The 11517-nt window shown below is 47.5% G+C and overlaps 1 protein-coding gene across 1 annotated transcript in view, besides 5 other annotated features; it reads right to left on the bottom strand.

Annotated features, from left to right (window-relative positions):
- TGIF2-RAB5IF (TGIF2-RAB5IF readthrough) overlaps positions 1 to 11517 on the bottom strand; it is a 38043-nt gene that overhangs the window by 6971 nt on the left and 19555 nt on the right. The gene's annotated exons all lie outside the window — the stretch shown is intronic.
- Positions 15 to 154: an enhancer, noted in NCBI's record as "active region_17813". NCBI's record gives its function as "activates an Ori minimal core promoter by ATAC-STARR-seq in GM12878 lymphoblastoid cells {active_cell/tissue: GM12878}" and the evidence as "EXISTENCE:reporter gene assay evidence [ECO:0000049][PMID:35858748]".
- Positions 494 to 893: a silencer, noted in NCBI's record as "fragment chr20:35233097-35233496 (GRCh37/hg19 assembly coordinates)". NCBI's record gives its function as "represses an EF-1alpha promoter that drives an FKBP-Casp9 reporter gene in an ReSE screen in K562 erythroleukemia cells {active_cell/tissue: K562}" and the evidence as "EXISTENCE:reporter gene assay evidence [ECO:0000049][PMID:32094911]".
- Positions 885 to 934: an enhancer, noted in NCBI's record as "active region_17812". NCBI's record gives its function as "activates an Ori minimal core promoter by ATAC-STARR-seq in GM12878 lymphoblastoid cells {active_cell/tissue: GM12878}" and the evidence as "EXISTENCE:reporter gene assay evidence [ECO:0000049][PMID:35858748]".
- Positions 5430 to 5499: an enhancer, noted in NCBI's record as "active region_17811". NCBI's record gives its function as "activates an Ori minimal core promoter by ATAC-STARR-seq in GM12878 lymphoblastoid cells {active_cell/tissue: GM12878}" and the evidence as "EXISTENCE:reporter gene assay evidence [ECO:0000049][PMID:35858748]".
- Positions 9499 to 9868: an enhancer, noted in NCBI's record as "active region_17810". NCBI's record gives its function as "activates an Ori minimal core promoter by ATAC-STARR-seq in GM12878 lymphoblastoid cells {active_cell/tissue: GM12878}" and the evidence as "EXISTENCE:reporter gene assay evidence [ECO:0000049][PMID:35858748]".

The following is an 11517-nucleotide window of genomic DNA, read 5'->3' as shown; positions in this document are numbered from 1 at the left end:
ATCTTGGTAGAACGGTGACATGGGCGCCAGGAGGCGCTGTGGAGACCGAGGAGGTAGGGGAAAACCGAGGCTGGACGTCAGCGTCGCCCAGTCGGCCACAGCTGCCCCTCGAGCAGCGAGTGGGGCAGGAGCGGCTCTACCTTTCCTTGCGACCTACTCGCCTGCTGAGCCCAGACCTTGCTCCAGGGTAGCTCCAAGCTGCCCCACAGGATTTAGCCCGCTTATTTTCTCCCCTAACCCTGCAAGTTCTGTAGGGCCTTGTTGAAGATGTTAACTCTTCTGTAATAACTAACCATTTCATCTTGCCCAGCACCCTCTTTTGGCACACGAGAGCCCTGAGACCCCAAAAGAGGAAATGAGATTCTGAGGCCGTATAGCAAGGTGGACCCAACCGGGGACTCCTGGGCGGCAAATACAAGGATTGGGTTAGGTATCAGGATATCTGAGTGTTCACATACAGCGTCCTCACCATGTGCTGCGTCAGTGGTTCACAAAGTGAGCTTCCGGATCAGCAGCGGCCGTATCGCCTGGGAACTGGGTAGAGGCGCAGGTTCTCGGCCCCCATTCCACGCCTACTGACTCAGAACCCCTGGGGATGGGGCTCCTTCCGGTGGCCCTCCAGGTGGTGCCAGGCTCACTGTGCTGGTAAGTCCAGAGACCAAGGCACATCCCTTCTGGACAGTGGATTTTTTTTTTTTTTTTTTTTTGAGACGGCACGGTCTCTGCTCACTGCAACCTCCACCTCCCGGGTTCAAGCGATTCTCGTGCCTCAGCCTCCCACGTAGCTGGGATCACAGGCGCCCACTACCACGCTCCACTAGTTTTTTTTGTATTTTAGTAGAGACGGGGGTTTCACTATGTTGCCCAGGCTGGTCTCGAACTCCTGAGCTCAGGCAATCCGCCCATCTTGGCCTCCCAAAGTGCTAGGATTACAGGCGTGAGCCACCTCACCCGGCCTCTGGACAGTGGATTTATAAAGACAAGTAATGTATCTGGTACCTGGGTGTGTCTGACTCCAGAATCTGTGCTCTTAACCGTTAAACTTTAAAGCTGAGAGTATCTTTTTTTTTTTTAAACAGGTCAGAGTATCTTTTGCATACCTATCAACATTCACCTGTAATTCTTCACTTTTCAGGAGTAATAGAACCTCCCTAGGGAGGCCAGGCGCAGTGGCTCACTCCCATAATCCCAGCACTTTGGAAGGCCGAGGTCGGTGGATCACTTGAGGTCAGGAGTTCGAGACCAGCCTGGCCAACATGGTTGAAAGCCCGTCTCTACTAAAAATGCAAAAAAAATTAGCCGGGCGTGGTGGTGGGGACCTGTAATCCCAGCTTCTCAGGAGGCTCGAGGCATGAGAATTGTTTGAACCTGGGAGGTGGAGGTTGCAGTGAGCCAAGATCGCGCCATTGCACTCCAGCCTGGGCAACAGAGCAAGACTTGGTCTCAAAAACAAAACAAAAAACAAACAAAAAACCTCCTAGAGAGCTTTTCCAGAATACTATAGCTGCTGTTTTCCACCCCAAGCCCACCCTGACATTGTTTCAGTAGATTAAGTGGGGCTGGACCCCCAAGGTGAAACATACTGTGATCACGTTACTGTCTGGAACTGGTGGAAGGGCCGTATACGTTATATGGGTGCACTCCTTTTGTCCTAAGTTTCCCCGTGGGTCTTGTTCTTTTCAGCCCTGCCTCTTTTCTGATCCAGTTTCCCTCCCATATGAAATGGTAAAGCTTAGCCAGTTGAAGGAAATCAAAATATTTTACCCCAAAATATGGCTCCCTAGTATAATGACTATTTTAGTTTAGTTTTTAAGACAGGGTCTCACTCTGTTGCCCGTGCTCAAATGCGGTGGCATGATCAGGGCTCACTGCAGCTTTGATCTTCTGGGCTCAAGCGATCTTCCCACCTCAACTTCCCAAGTAGCTGGAGCTGCAGGCACAGGCACATGCCACCAACCTGGCTAAGATTTTTTTTTTTTTTTTTATAGACAGAGTCTCACTCTGTCGCCCAAGCTGGAGTGCAGTGGCATGATCTCAGCTCACTGCAACCTCTGCCTCCCAGATTCAACCAGTTCTATTGACTTAGTCTCCCCAGAAGCTGGGAATACAGATGCGTACCACCACAACCTGGCTAATTTTTGTATTTTTCAGTAGAGATGGGATTTTGCCATCTTGTCCAGGCTGGTCTCAAATTCCTGACCTCAAGTGATCCGCCTGCCTCAGCCTCCCAAAGGGCTGGGATTACAGGCATGAGCCACCACACCCTGACAGGTTTGTTTTTTTTTGTTTTTGTTTTTTAATTTTCTGTAGAGACAGGGTCTCACTATGTTGCCTAGGCTGGTCTTGAACTCCTGGGCTCAAGCAGTCCTCCCACCTCGGTCTCCCAATGTGTTGGGATTACAGGCATGACCCACTGTGCCTAGCATAATGAATATCTGAACTTGAAAACCTAATCAAGGTGCTGGAAGAGACTTTTCCCGTATCTACATAAAGATATGACTGACCCACCAAGGAGAAGAGTTCTTGTTCCTCTCCCTGTTATCTCACTTTCTTTTTTTTTTGGGACGGAGTCTCGCTCTGTTGCCCAGGCTGGAGTGCAGTGGCGCGATATCGGCTGACTGGGTTCACGCCATTCTCCTGCCTCAGCCTCCCCAGTAGCTGGGACTACAGGCACCCGCCACCATGCCTGGCTAATTTTTTGTATTTTTAGTAGAGACAGGGTTTAACCGTGTTAGTCAGGACAGTCTTGATCTCCTGACCTCGTGATCCGCCCGCCTCGGCCTCCCAAAGTGATGGGATTACAGGCGTGAGCCACCACACCCAGCTATCTCGCTTTCTATTGCAGAAGAGAAGACAGTGTAACCACACCTGAACAGACCCTTTTTCAAGGTAATGACTGTCTCCAAGAATAATTTAAATTCCAAAGATAACTATTTACAGGTTAATTTCTGTTTCTGATCCATTCTTCCTAATAATCATTTGTTGTCCCTCAGTAAAATTCCTTGCTCCCCCTTCCCATAACCTGTTCTACCAGGATCCAAGCCCCCATTCTTTCTGTAACCTCAAGATGGTACAGAAGCTTCTGTACCTGGTCGGGTGCAGTGGCTCACACCTGTAATCTCAGCACTTTGGGAGGCCGAGGCGAGTGGATCACCTTAGGTTAGGAGTTCGACACCAGCCTGACCAACATGGAGAAACCCCATCTCTACTAAGATTACAAAAAATTAGCCGAACGTAGTGGCATGTGCCTGTAATTCCAGCTATTCAGGAGGCTGAGGCAGGAGAATTGCTTGAACCTGGGAGACGGAGGTTGCAGTGAGCCGAGATCGTGCCATTGCACTCCAGCTTGGGCAACAAGAGCGAAACTCCATCTAAAAAAAAAAAAAAGAAGCTTCTGTACCTTATTGGGGAGTTGGGGAGCTGGGTCTTCATTCTGAAGACTCCTGTGTATACACGTTAAATCAAATTGTATGCCTTTTTTCCTGGTAATCAATCTGCCTCATATCACTGATTTTCAGGGAAACTTCAGAGGGCCAAGAGCTTCCAAACTGACTGGTTTGGAAGTGTACCATTGTTACAAAACCTCTTTTACAGACTCCCTGCTGGCATGTAGTTCAGAAGACAAACTAATGAATCTGTCACAGAATGTTGGAAGAATGACTAGCCCTTGGCCTAAAGGTAAGTTTTCACTCTGCCAGGTCTCCCCCTGGTGAAGATGTATAATGGGGAACCTGATCTGGGGGGATTAGGGAAGGGTAAACTCTGAAGGAAGACATTAGAAGGAAAAGAGGGAGGTGAAGGTGGGAGATAACATTTAGGGAAATGAAACCATGTGGGCTAATGGTAAGGAATGAAGCCACCAGAGGGGAAGCACGGGAGAATCATGCTGAAGAGTTTGCTTCTTATCCAGGGGTAGGGGAAGCCATCAGGTTTGCATCTTAGAAGGATCATGCTTGCTGCTATTTGGGGGACTGGATCAGAATGGGGGACTAGTTAAAAGGCTGTTAAAGTCATTTAGGTGAGAGTTGGTGAGGGCACTGAAGATGCAGAAAACTGGATTCAACAGTTCTTTTTTTTTTTTTTTTTTTTTTGAGACGGAGTCTCATTCTTGTTGCCCAAGCTGGAGTACAGTGGCATGATCTCAGCTCACTGCAACCTCCACCTCCCGGGTTCAAGCGAGTCTCCTGCCTTAGCCTCCCGAGTAGCTGGAATTACAGGCGCCCGCCACCACGCCTGGCTAATTTTTTTTGTATTTTTAGTAGAGACAGGGTTTCACCATGTTTGGCCAGGCTGGTCTCGAACCCCTGACCTCAGGTGATCCACCCACCTCGGCCCCACAAAGTGCTGGGATTACAGGCGTGAGCCACCATGCCCAGCCCGTTCTTTTTTAAATTAAACATATTACTTATTTATTTATTTTGGAGACAGAGTCTCGCTCTGTCGCCCAGGCTGGAGTGCAGCGACACCATCTCAGCTCACTGCAGCCTCTGCCTCCCAGGTTCAAGTGATTCTCGTGCCTCAGCCTCTGGAGTAGATGGGATTACAGGTGTGCGCCACCACACCTGGCTAATTTTTTGTATTTTAGTAGACATGGGGTTTCACTGTGTTACCCAGGGTGGTCTTGAACTACTGAGCTCAGGCAATCTGCCTGCCTCAGCCTTCCAAAGTGCTGGGATTACAGGTGTGAGCCACCACACCCAACCAAATTAAAAATATTTTTAAGGGCCTGGCATGGTGGTTCATGCCTGTAATCCCAGCACTTTGGGAGGCCAAGACAGGAGGATCACTTGAGCCCAGGAGCTCAAGACTAGCCTGGGCTACACAGGGAGACCCCGTCTCCACAAAAAAAAAAAGAAAGAAAAAAACAATTAGCCAGGCATGGTGGTGCACACCTGTAGTCCCAGCTATTTGAAGGCTGAGGTGGGAGGCTTGCTTAAGCCCAGAAGGTAGAGGCAGCAGTGAGCTGTGATCATCACACCACTGCACTCCAGCCTGGGTGACAGAGTGAGAGACTCTCTCAAAAAAAAAAATTGTTTTTTAAATTTTAGTAAAATATATCTAACAAAGTTTATCATTTCAACACTTATTAAGTGTACAGTTCAGTGGCATTAAGTGTATTCACTTTGTTCTGCAGCCATCACCACCATCCATTTTCAGAACTTTGTCACCTTGTAAAATTGAAACTCTGTACCCATTAAAAATAACTCCTCATTCTCCCATTTCCCCAGTCCCTGGAAACCAGTTCCATTCTACTTTCTCTGTAGGAATTTGACTGTTCTAATGGGTATCTCATAGGAGTACAGTATTCGTCCTTTTGTGACTGGTTTGTTTCAGTTAGCATTATGTCCTCCAGTTTCACCCACGTTGTAGCATGTGTTAGAATTTCCTTCCTTTTTAAAGCTGTTGTATGTACATACCACATGTTGCTTACCTACTGATAGACATTTGGGTTGCTTACACTTTGACTATTCTGAATAATGCTGCTATGAATTGGAGTGTACAAATATCTGTTTGTGTCCCTGCTTTGTTATTTTGGGCATATTCTCAGAAGTGGAATTGCTAGATCATATCGTAATTCTATTTTTAATTTTTTGAGGAAGTGTTGTTTTCCACAGCAGCTGCGGCATTTTACATTTCCACCAGCAGTGCACAAGGGTTCGGAGATACATGTTTTTTTTTTTTTTTTGAGAAGGAGTCTCGCTCTGTTGCCCAGGCTGGAGTACAGTGGCACAACCTCAGCTCACTGCAACCTCCGCCTCCTGGGTTCAAGCGATTCTTCTGCCTCAGCCTCCCAAGTAGCTGGGATTACAGGCACCCGCCACCATGCCCAGCTAATTTTTGTATTTTTAGTAGAGACAGGGTTTTGCCATGTTGGCCAGACTGGTCTGGAACTCCTGACGTCATGATCCGCCTGCGTCGGCCTCCCAAAGTGCTGGGATTACAGGTGTGAGTCACCGTGCTCAGCCTTTTTCTGCTGTTAATAATCATCCTACTAGGTGCAAAGTAGTATTTTCACTGTGGTTTTGATTTGCACTTCCCTAGTGATTAGTAATGATTGAGCATCTCATTAGACAGTATTTTTTTATGTCATATTTGTTTTTTCTTTTTCTTTTTTTTTTTTTTTTTGAGACAGAGTCTCGCCCTGTCACCCAGGTTGGAGTGCAGTGGTACGATCTTGGCTCACTGCAACCTCCACCTCCCAGGTTCAAGGGATTCTCCTCAGCCTCCCAAGTAGCTGGGATTACAGGTGCCCACCACTATGCCCAGCTAATTTTTGTATTTTTAGTAGAGACGGGGTTTCATCATGTTGGCCAGGCTGGTCTCGAACTCCTGACCTCAAGTGATACGCCCACCTCAGCCTCTCAAAGTGCTGAGATTACAGGCATGAGCCACTGCGTCCGGCTCTAGGTCATGTTTGTATTACATTGCGAAGCTCTGACCGTAACTCCAAGAGCCATTATGTTTGCATGGGATTGGGAGAGGTCACAGAAAGTTCTAGTTGGAAGGGTCCTCAAATCCTGCAGTGTAGCCCAAGGTCATAAGGGAAGTTAGAAGTTCAACAGGCATCTGAAACCTGATCCCTGTTCCTCCTCTTACCTCTCTAGGAGCAGACAAAGCTAAGCTGGCAGCCAGAGGGGAAGCCCTTGTCTAAAAGGTATTTTTGGGACTCAGACTTGTTCCCTATTTGCTTTCACCCAAGGCTTTCCTTATCTTAGGAAGCGGGGAACCTGGCTGAATCTCAGTGAATCCGTCTGGTTAAAATAAACATCTTGGGTGGTCTGAGTTGGAAAATAACTTGATGAAGGGTCAGATTTGAAAGTGGGAGAGACAGATTTGGAAGTAGGACAAATTTTGTCTTTGTGAGTTTGTAGCTGTTTAGTACTAGTTGAACACATGAGCTCAGCCTTAGGGCTATTTCCCAGCTGAATGCCTCGATAGCACTGCCAGCTGCTTGGAGTGGGGTTTGGAGAGGAAGGTATATTCTGAGGGGTAAGACTGGCCCCTCACAGGCACTGATGGATCACAGGTATCAGAAATCCTGGGGGCAACCATCAGCCATGGAAAGAGCACCTGTTGTTGGAATGGAGGTCTGAGATTGCATCCTGGTCTTTTTTTTTCTTTTTGGCCCACAATAAATGTCATACTAGCACTTAATGAACCCTCACTAGCTACCAGTCACTTCACTAAATGTTTTACATTCATTTGTTTTGTTTTGTTTTTGAGACAGTCTCACTCTGTCACCCAGGCTGGAGTGCAGTGGGACAATCTCAACTCACTGCAACCTCCACCTCCTGGGTTCAAGCAATTCTCCTGCCTCAGCCTCCGGAGTAGCTGGGACTACAGGCACCTGCCACCATGCTCAGCTAATTTTTGTATTTTGTAGAGATGGGGTTTTGCCACGTTTGCCAGGCTGGTCTCAAGCTCCTGACCTTGGGTGATCCACCCGCCTCGGCCTTCCAAAGTGATGGAATTACAGGTATAAGCCACTGCATCTGGCTACATTCGTTTTCATCCAAAACCTGGCTGGGCTTTTAACCATTAACCATTATGCTAAACTCTTCTCTTTTTATACCTTTACTTGCAATTTCTCTACATCGTGTGTGGATTACTTTGGTAATTAAAATGGTAGGGCTACACTTGACCTTCAAGTTACCATAGCCTCCTGGGAGCAAAGACGTCAGATGGTTCAGAGACCCTTCTTCCTCTCATCTTGTAACTTTGAAAGACAAAGAGTTGCTACTTTCCCAGCCCAGTAGTTTCCTGGGGATAGGTCAGTGTCCTGATAATGAATGGTGAAGGTCTCTGGAGCAAGATCATCAGAATCTCATGTGGCATCAGTGAAGAATGCAGATTCCTGCCCAGACTCTCTGGGCGTGAGGTCTGGGAATATGCATCTTTGTAAGCTTTCCTGATGATCTTGATGGATATTTAGGCTTGAGAATTACTTCTCTGGGTAATTAGGCCCAATTCTGCCACTTAAAAGCTGTGTGGTATGGGGTAAGTTATTTTACAGGTTGTTTTTCCCTCAGCTGTGTGCTGAGCAAGGATAGATAGTAACGTATAGATTATCCTATTTCATCCTCCCAAGAGGTAAGTATTACTATTCCCACTTTATTGATGATGAAAACTGAAGTTTGGAGTAGTGAACTGTCTTGCCTATGGTCATGACAGCTAATCAGTGACAGACCAAGAATTTGAAACCAGGCTTGGGTCATAGAGAAATGCCTTTGAAATCAGTAACACTGACAGCAGTGATGGTTATTTCTGCATCCTTCGAGTGCCACACCTTATCCTCTGCAGCTCTAGTGCATAACATAGCAAGGATACAGCCATACAAGGCAGACCTGGCCTCTGCCATATGGAGTTTTCATGTAGCAGCTTTCTTTTCTTTTTTTTTTTTTTGAGACGGAGTTTTGCCTTGTCACCCAGGCTAGAGTACAGTGGTGCGATCTCGGCTCACTCCAACCTCTGCCTCCCGGGTTCAAGCGATTCTCCTGCCTCAGCCTCCCGAGTAGCTGGGATTACAGGTGCCTGCCACCGCGCCAGGCTAATTTTTGTAATTTTAGTAGAGATGGGGTTTCACCATCTTGGCCAGGCTGGTCTCGAACTCCTGACCTCGTGATCTACCAGCCTTGGCCTCCCAAAGAGCTGGGATTACACGTATGAGCCACCGTGCCCAGCCCATGTAGCAGCTTTCAAGCTAGACTGTACTTTTAAAATCCAGAGTCCTCAGTCTTACCCCAGAGATGCTTATTCCTAGGGCTAAGTTGAGGCAAAAAAAAAAAAAAAAAAAAAAAAAAAGGTTCTAAGCCTGGGGGCCATGGAGAAACTACCATTCAAAAACAGTGGAAAGGAAGAGGACTTCCCTGACCACCCATCTAGAGGATGGCAGATCCCCTCCCCACCAATCACTACCATTACCTTTATTTTATTTTATTTTATTTTTGAGACAGAGTCTCACTCTGTCGGCCAGGCTGGAGTGCAGCGGCGCCATCTCAGCTCACTGCAACCTCCGCCTCCCTGGTTCAAGTGATTCTTCTGCCTCAGCCTCCCAAGTAGCAGGGACTACAAGCATGCACCACCACGCCACCCGGCCACCTTTTTAAACAAAACAAAACAAAAAAAATATTAATGCAAAGTCCAAAATCGATACCCAAAAGCTTGAAGCATCATCTTAGCCCTATTAAGAACAAGGGTATAGGCTGAGTGCGGTGGCTCACGTCTGTAATCCCAGCACTTTGGGAGGCTGAGGCAGGCGGATCATGAGGTCAGGAGTTTGAGACCAGCCTGACCAACATGGTGAAACCCCGTCTCTACTTAAAATACAAAAATTAGCCAGGGGTGGTGGTGCGTGCGTGTAATCCCAGCTACTCAGGAGGCTGAGACAGGAGAATCACTTGAACCCAGGAGACGGAGGTTGCAGTGAGCCGAGATTGCACTGCTGCACTCAAGCCTGGGCGACAGAGCAAGAATCTGTCTCAAAAAAAAAAGAACAAGGGTATAGAGAGGCGGCCAGGCTATACATAGCCAGCCCAAAGAGACAGCGGGTATTCACGACCAGGGCAGATACATTTAAAAGCTGTTTCCTGAATGAGACTCTAATAAAAAAGGTGGATGTCCTTAGATCATGTTCCCAGCGTCACAGGAGGGGCCCTAGCCACATTATCCCGCAGTTCACTTTCATTATCTAGAGTGCTTGCTCACTCCAGGGCTCATTTGAAGCTTGATGCAGAAGACACTTTTGGTTTCAGTTCCTTTTATTTTTTTTTGAGACAGTCTCGCTCTGTCGCCCAGGCTGGAGTGCAGTGGCATGATCTCGGCTCACTGCAACCTCCGCCTCCAGGGTTCAAGCGATTCTCCTGCCTCAGCCTCCCGAGTAGCTGGGATTACAGGGGTGCGCCATTCCCACCCCACCAATTTTTGTATTTTTAGTAGAGACGGGGTTTCACCATGTTGGCTAGGCTGGTCTTGAACTCCTGACCTCAAAAGTGATCTGCCCGCCTCAGCCTCCCAAAATGCTGGAATTACAAGCATGAGCCACCACGCCCGGCCGATGTGAATTGAATATTAAACTTACTTTGAAAAGCTGTAACAGCATGTGCCTATTCTGCTGAGCTCCAGGGCCAAGTGTGCAGTTTGAGAGATACTGAGAGAGAAATGGGGGAAAATCAGGACCTTGGGTGAATGGCTGAGGGAGCTGAGGCTCTTTAATCTGGGAAACTTGAGTGGGGAGGCTCTCTCTCCAAATTCCTGAAGGAGAGTGACCTGTAGGAGAGACCACCAAGATTTCATTCACAGAAGAAACTTCTTGTGCTGAGCCCACAGCACTGTTCTAGACAGCTAGATGATACTATGTTAGTAAGTGACCACTATATTACTTCAGGTAGGTTCTGGGCAGACCTGAGTGACCCTGAAGGAAAACAGACTTGAATTTGAATTCGAGCTCCATATTTATATGGGCTATATGAGTTCAGGCAAGTATCTGAAATCCCTACTCAGTTTCTCTTTTTTTTTAGAATAAAAAAAAATTAAAAAAACGATGGGGTCTTGGGGTCTCATTCAGTCACCCAGGCTGGAGTGCAGTGGTCCAATCACAGCTCATTGCAGCCTCAAACTCCCAGGCTTAAGTGATCCTCCAGCCTCAGCCTTGGAGTAGCTGGGACTGTAGGCACAAGCCACAGCCCACTCAGTTTCTTTACCTAGGGCATCTCACTTTCATGTGTGTGTGTACAAAAATTAAGAAATTGGGGCTGGGCACAGTGACTCACGCCTGTAATTGCAGCACTTTGGGAGGCCGAGGTGGGTGGATCACGAGGTCAGGAGATCGAGATCATCCTGGCCAACACGGTGAAACCCCGTCTCTACTAAAAAATACAAAAAATTAGCCGGGCATGGTGGCGCACTCCTGTAGTCCCAGCTATTTGGGAGGCTGAGGTAGGAGAATCACTTGAACCTGGGAGGCGGAGGTTGCAGTGAGCCAAGATTGTGCCACTGCACTCCAGCCTAGCAAGAGAGAGAGACTCCGTTTCAAAAAAAAAAAAAAAAAAAAGAGACTGAACATAGCACAGACCCAGACCCAGGCACACTCAACCAAACTCAGTTTCCCACTGTTGCAGACCTTGGTTTTTATAGTTTGGGCTGCAGTTAGTGTATTGTCATTTCAGTATGGCAGAAACGTATTAACAGCTAGTTTAAGCAAAAAGGGGAATTCACTAGCTTACATAATAGAGAAGTTTACAGGTGGTCCTGGTTTCAGACATGACTGGAGCTTCCATCTCATAGCTGCTTCTCTCTGTGCCGGGTTCACACTGCAGTCATGCTTGTTTCTTACCGAGAGAGGGGGAGGACAAAGTTGCCAGTTCCTCAAGGTTACATCCTCACCACTTAGCAACCCCAGAGCTTAACTGTTGATTCCAGGGAAGACTGGCCCAATGTGAGATGCAAATGCCCCCTTTACCCTGAGTTGAATGGGATACAGAATGGAGCTGGTGAAAGGGAATGGGGGTACAGCGTGCA

The sequence above is a fragment of the Homo sapiens genome, chromosome 20 (assembly GCF_000001405.40).
Source record: "Homo sapiens chromosome 20, GRCh38.p14 Primary Assembly".
In the NCBI taxonomy this organism is placed as follows: domain Eukaryota; kingdom Metazoa; phylum Chordata; class Mammalia; order Primates; family Hominidae; genus Homo; species Homo sapiens.
Note: the sequence above shows the minus strand (reverse complement) of the source record. Positions and strands in the feature narration are given on the sequence as shown.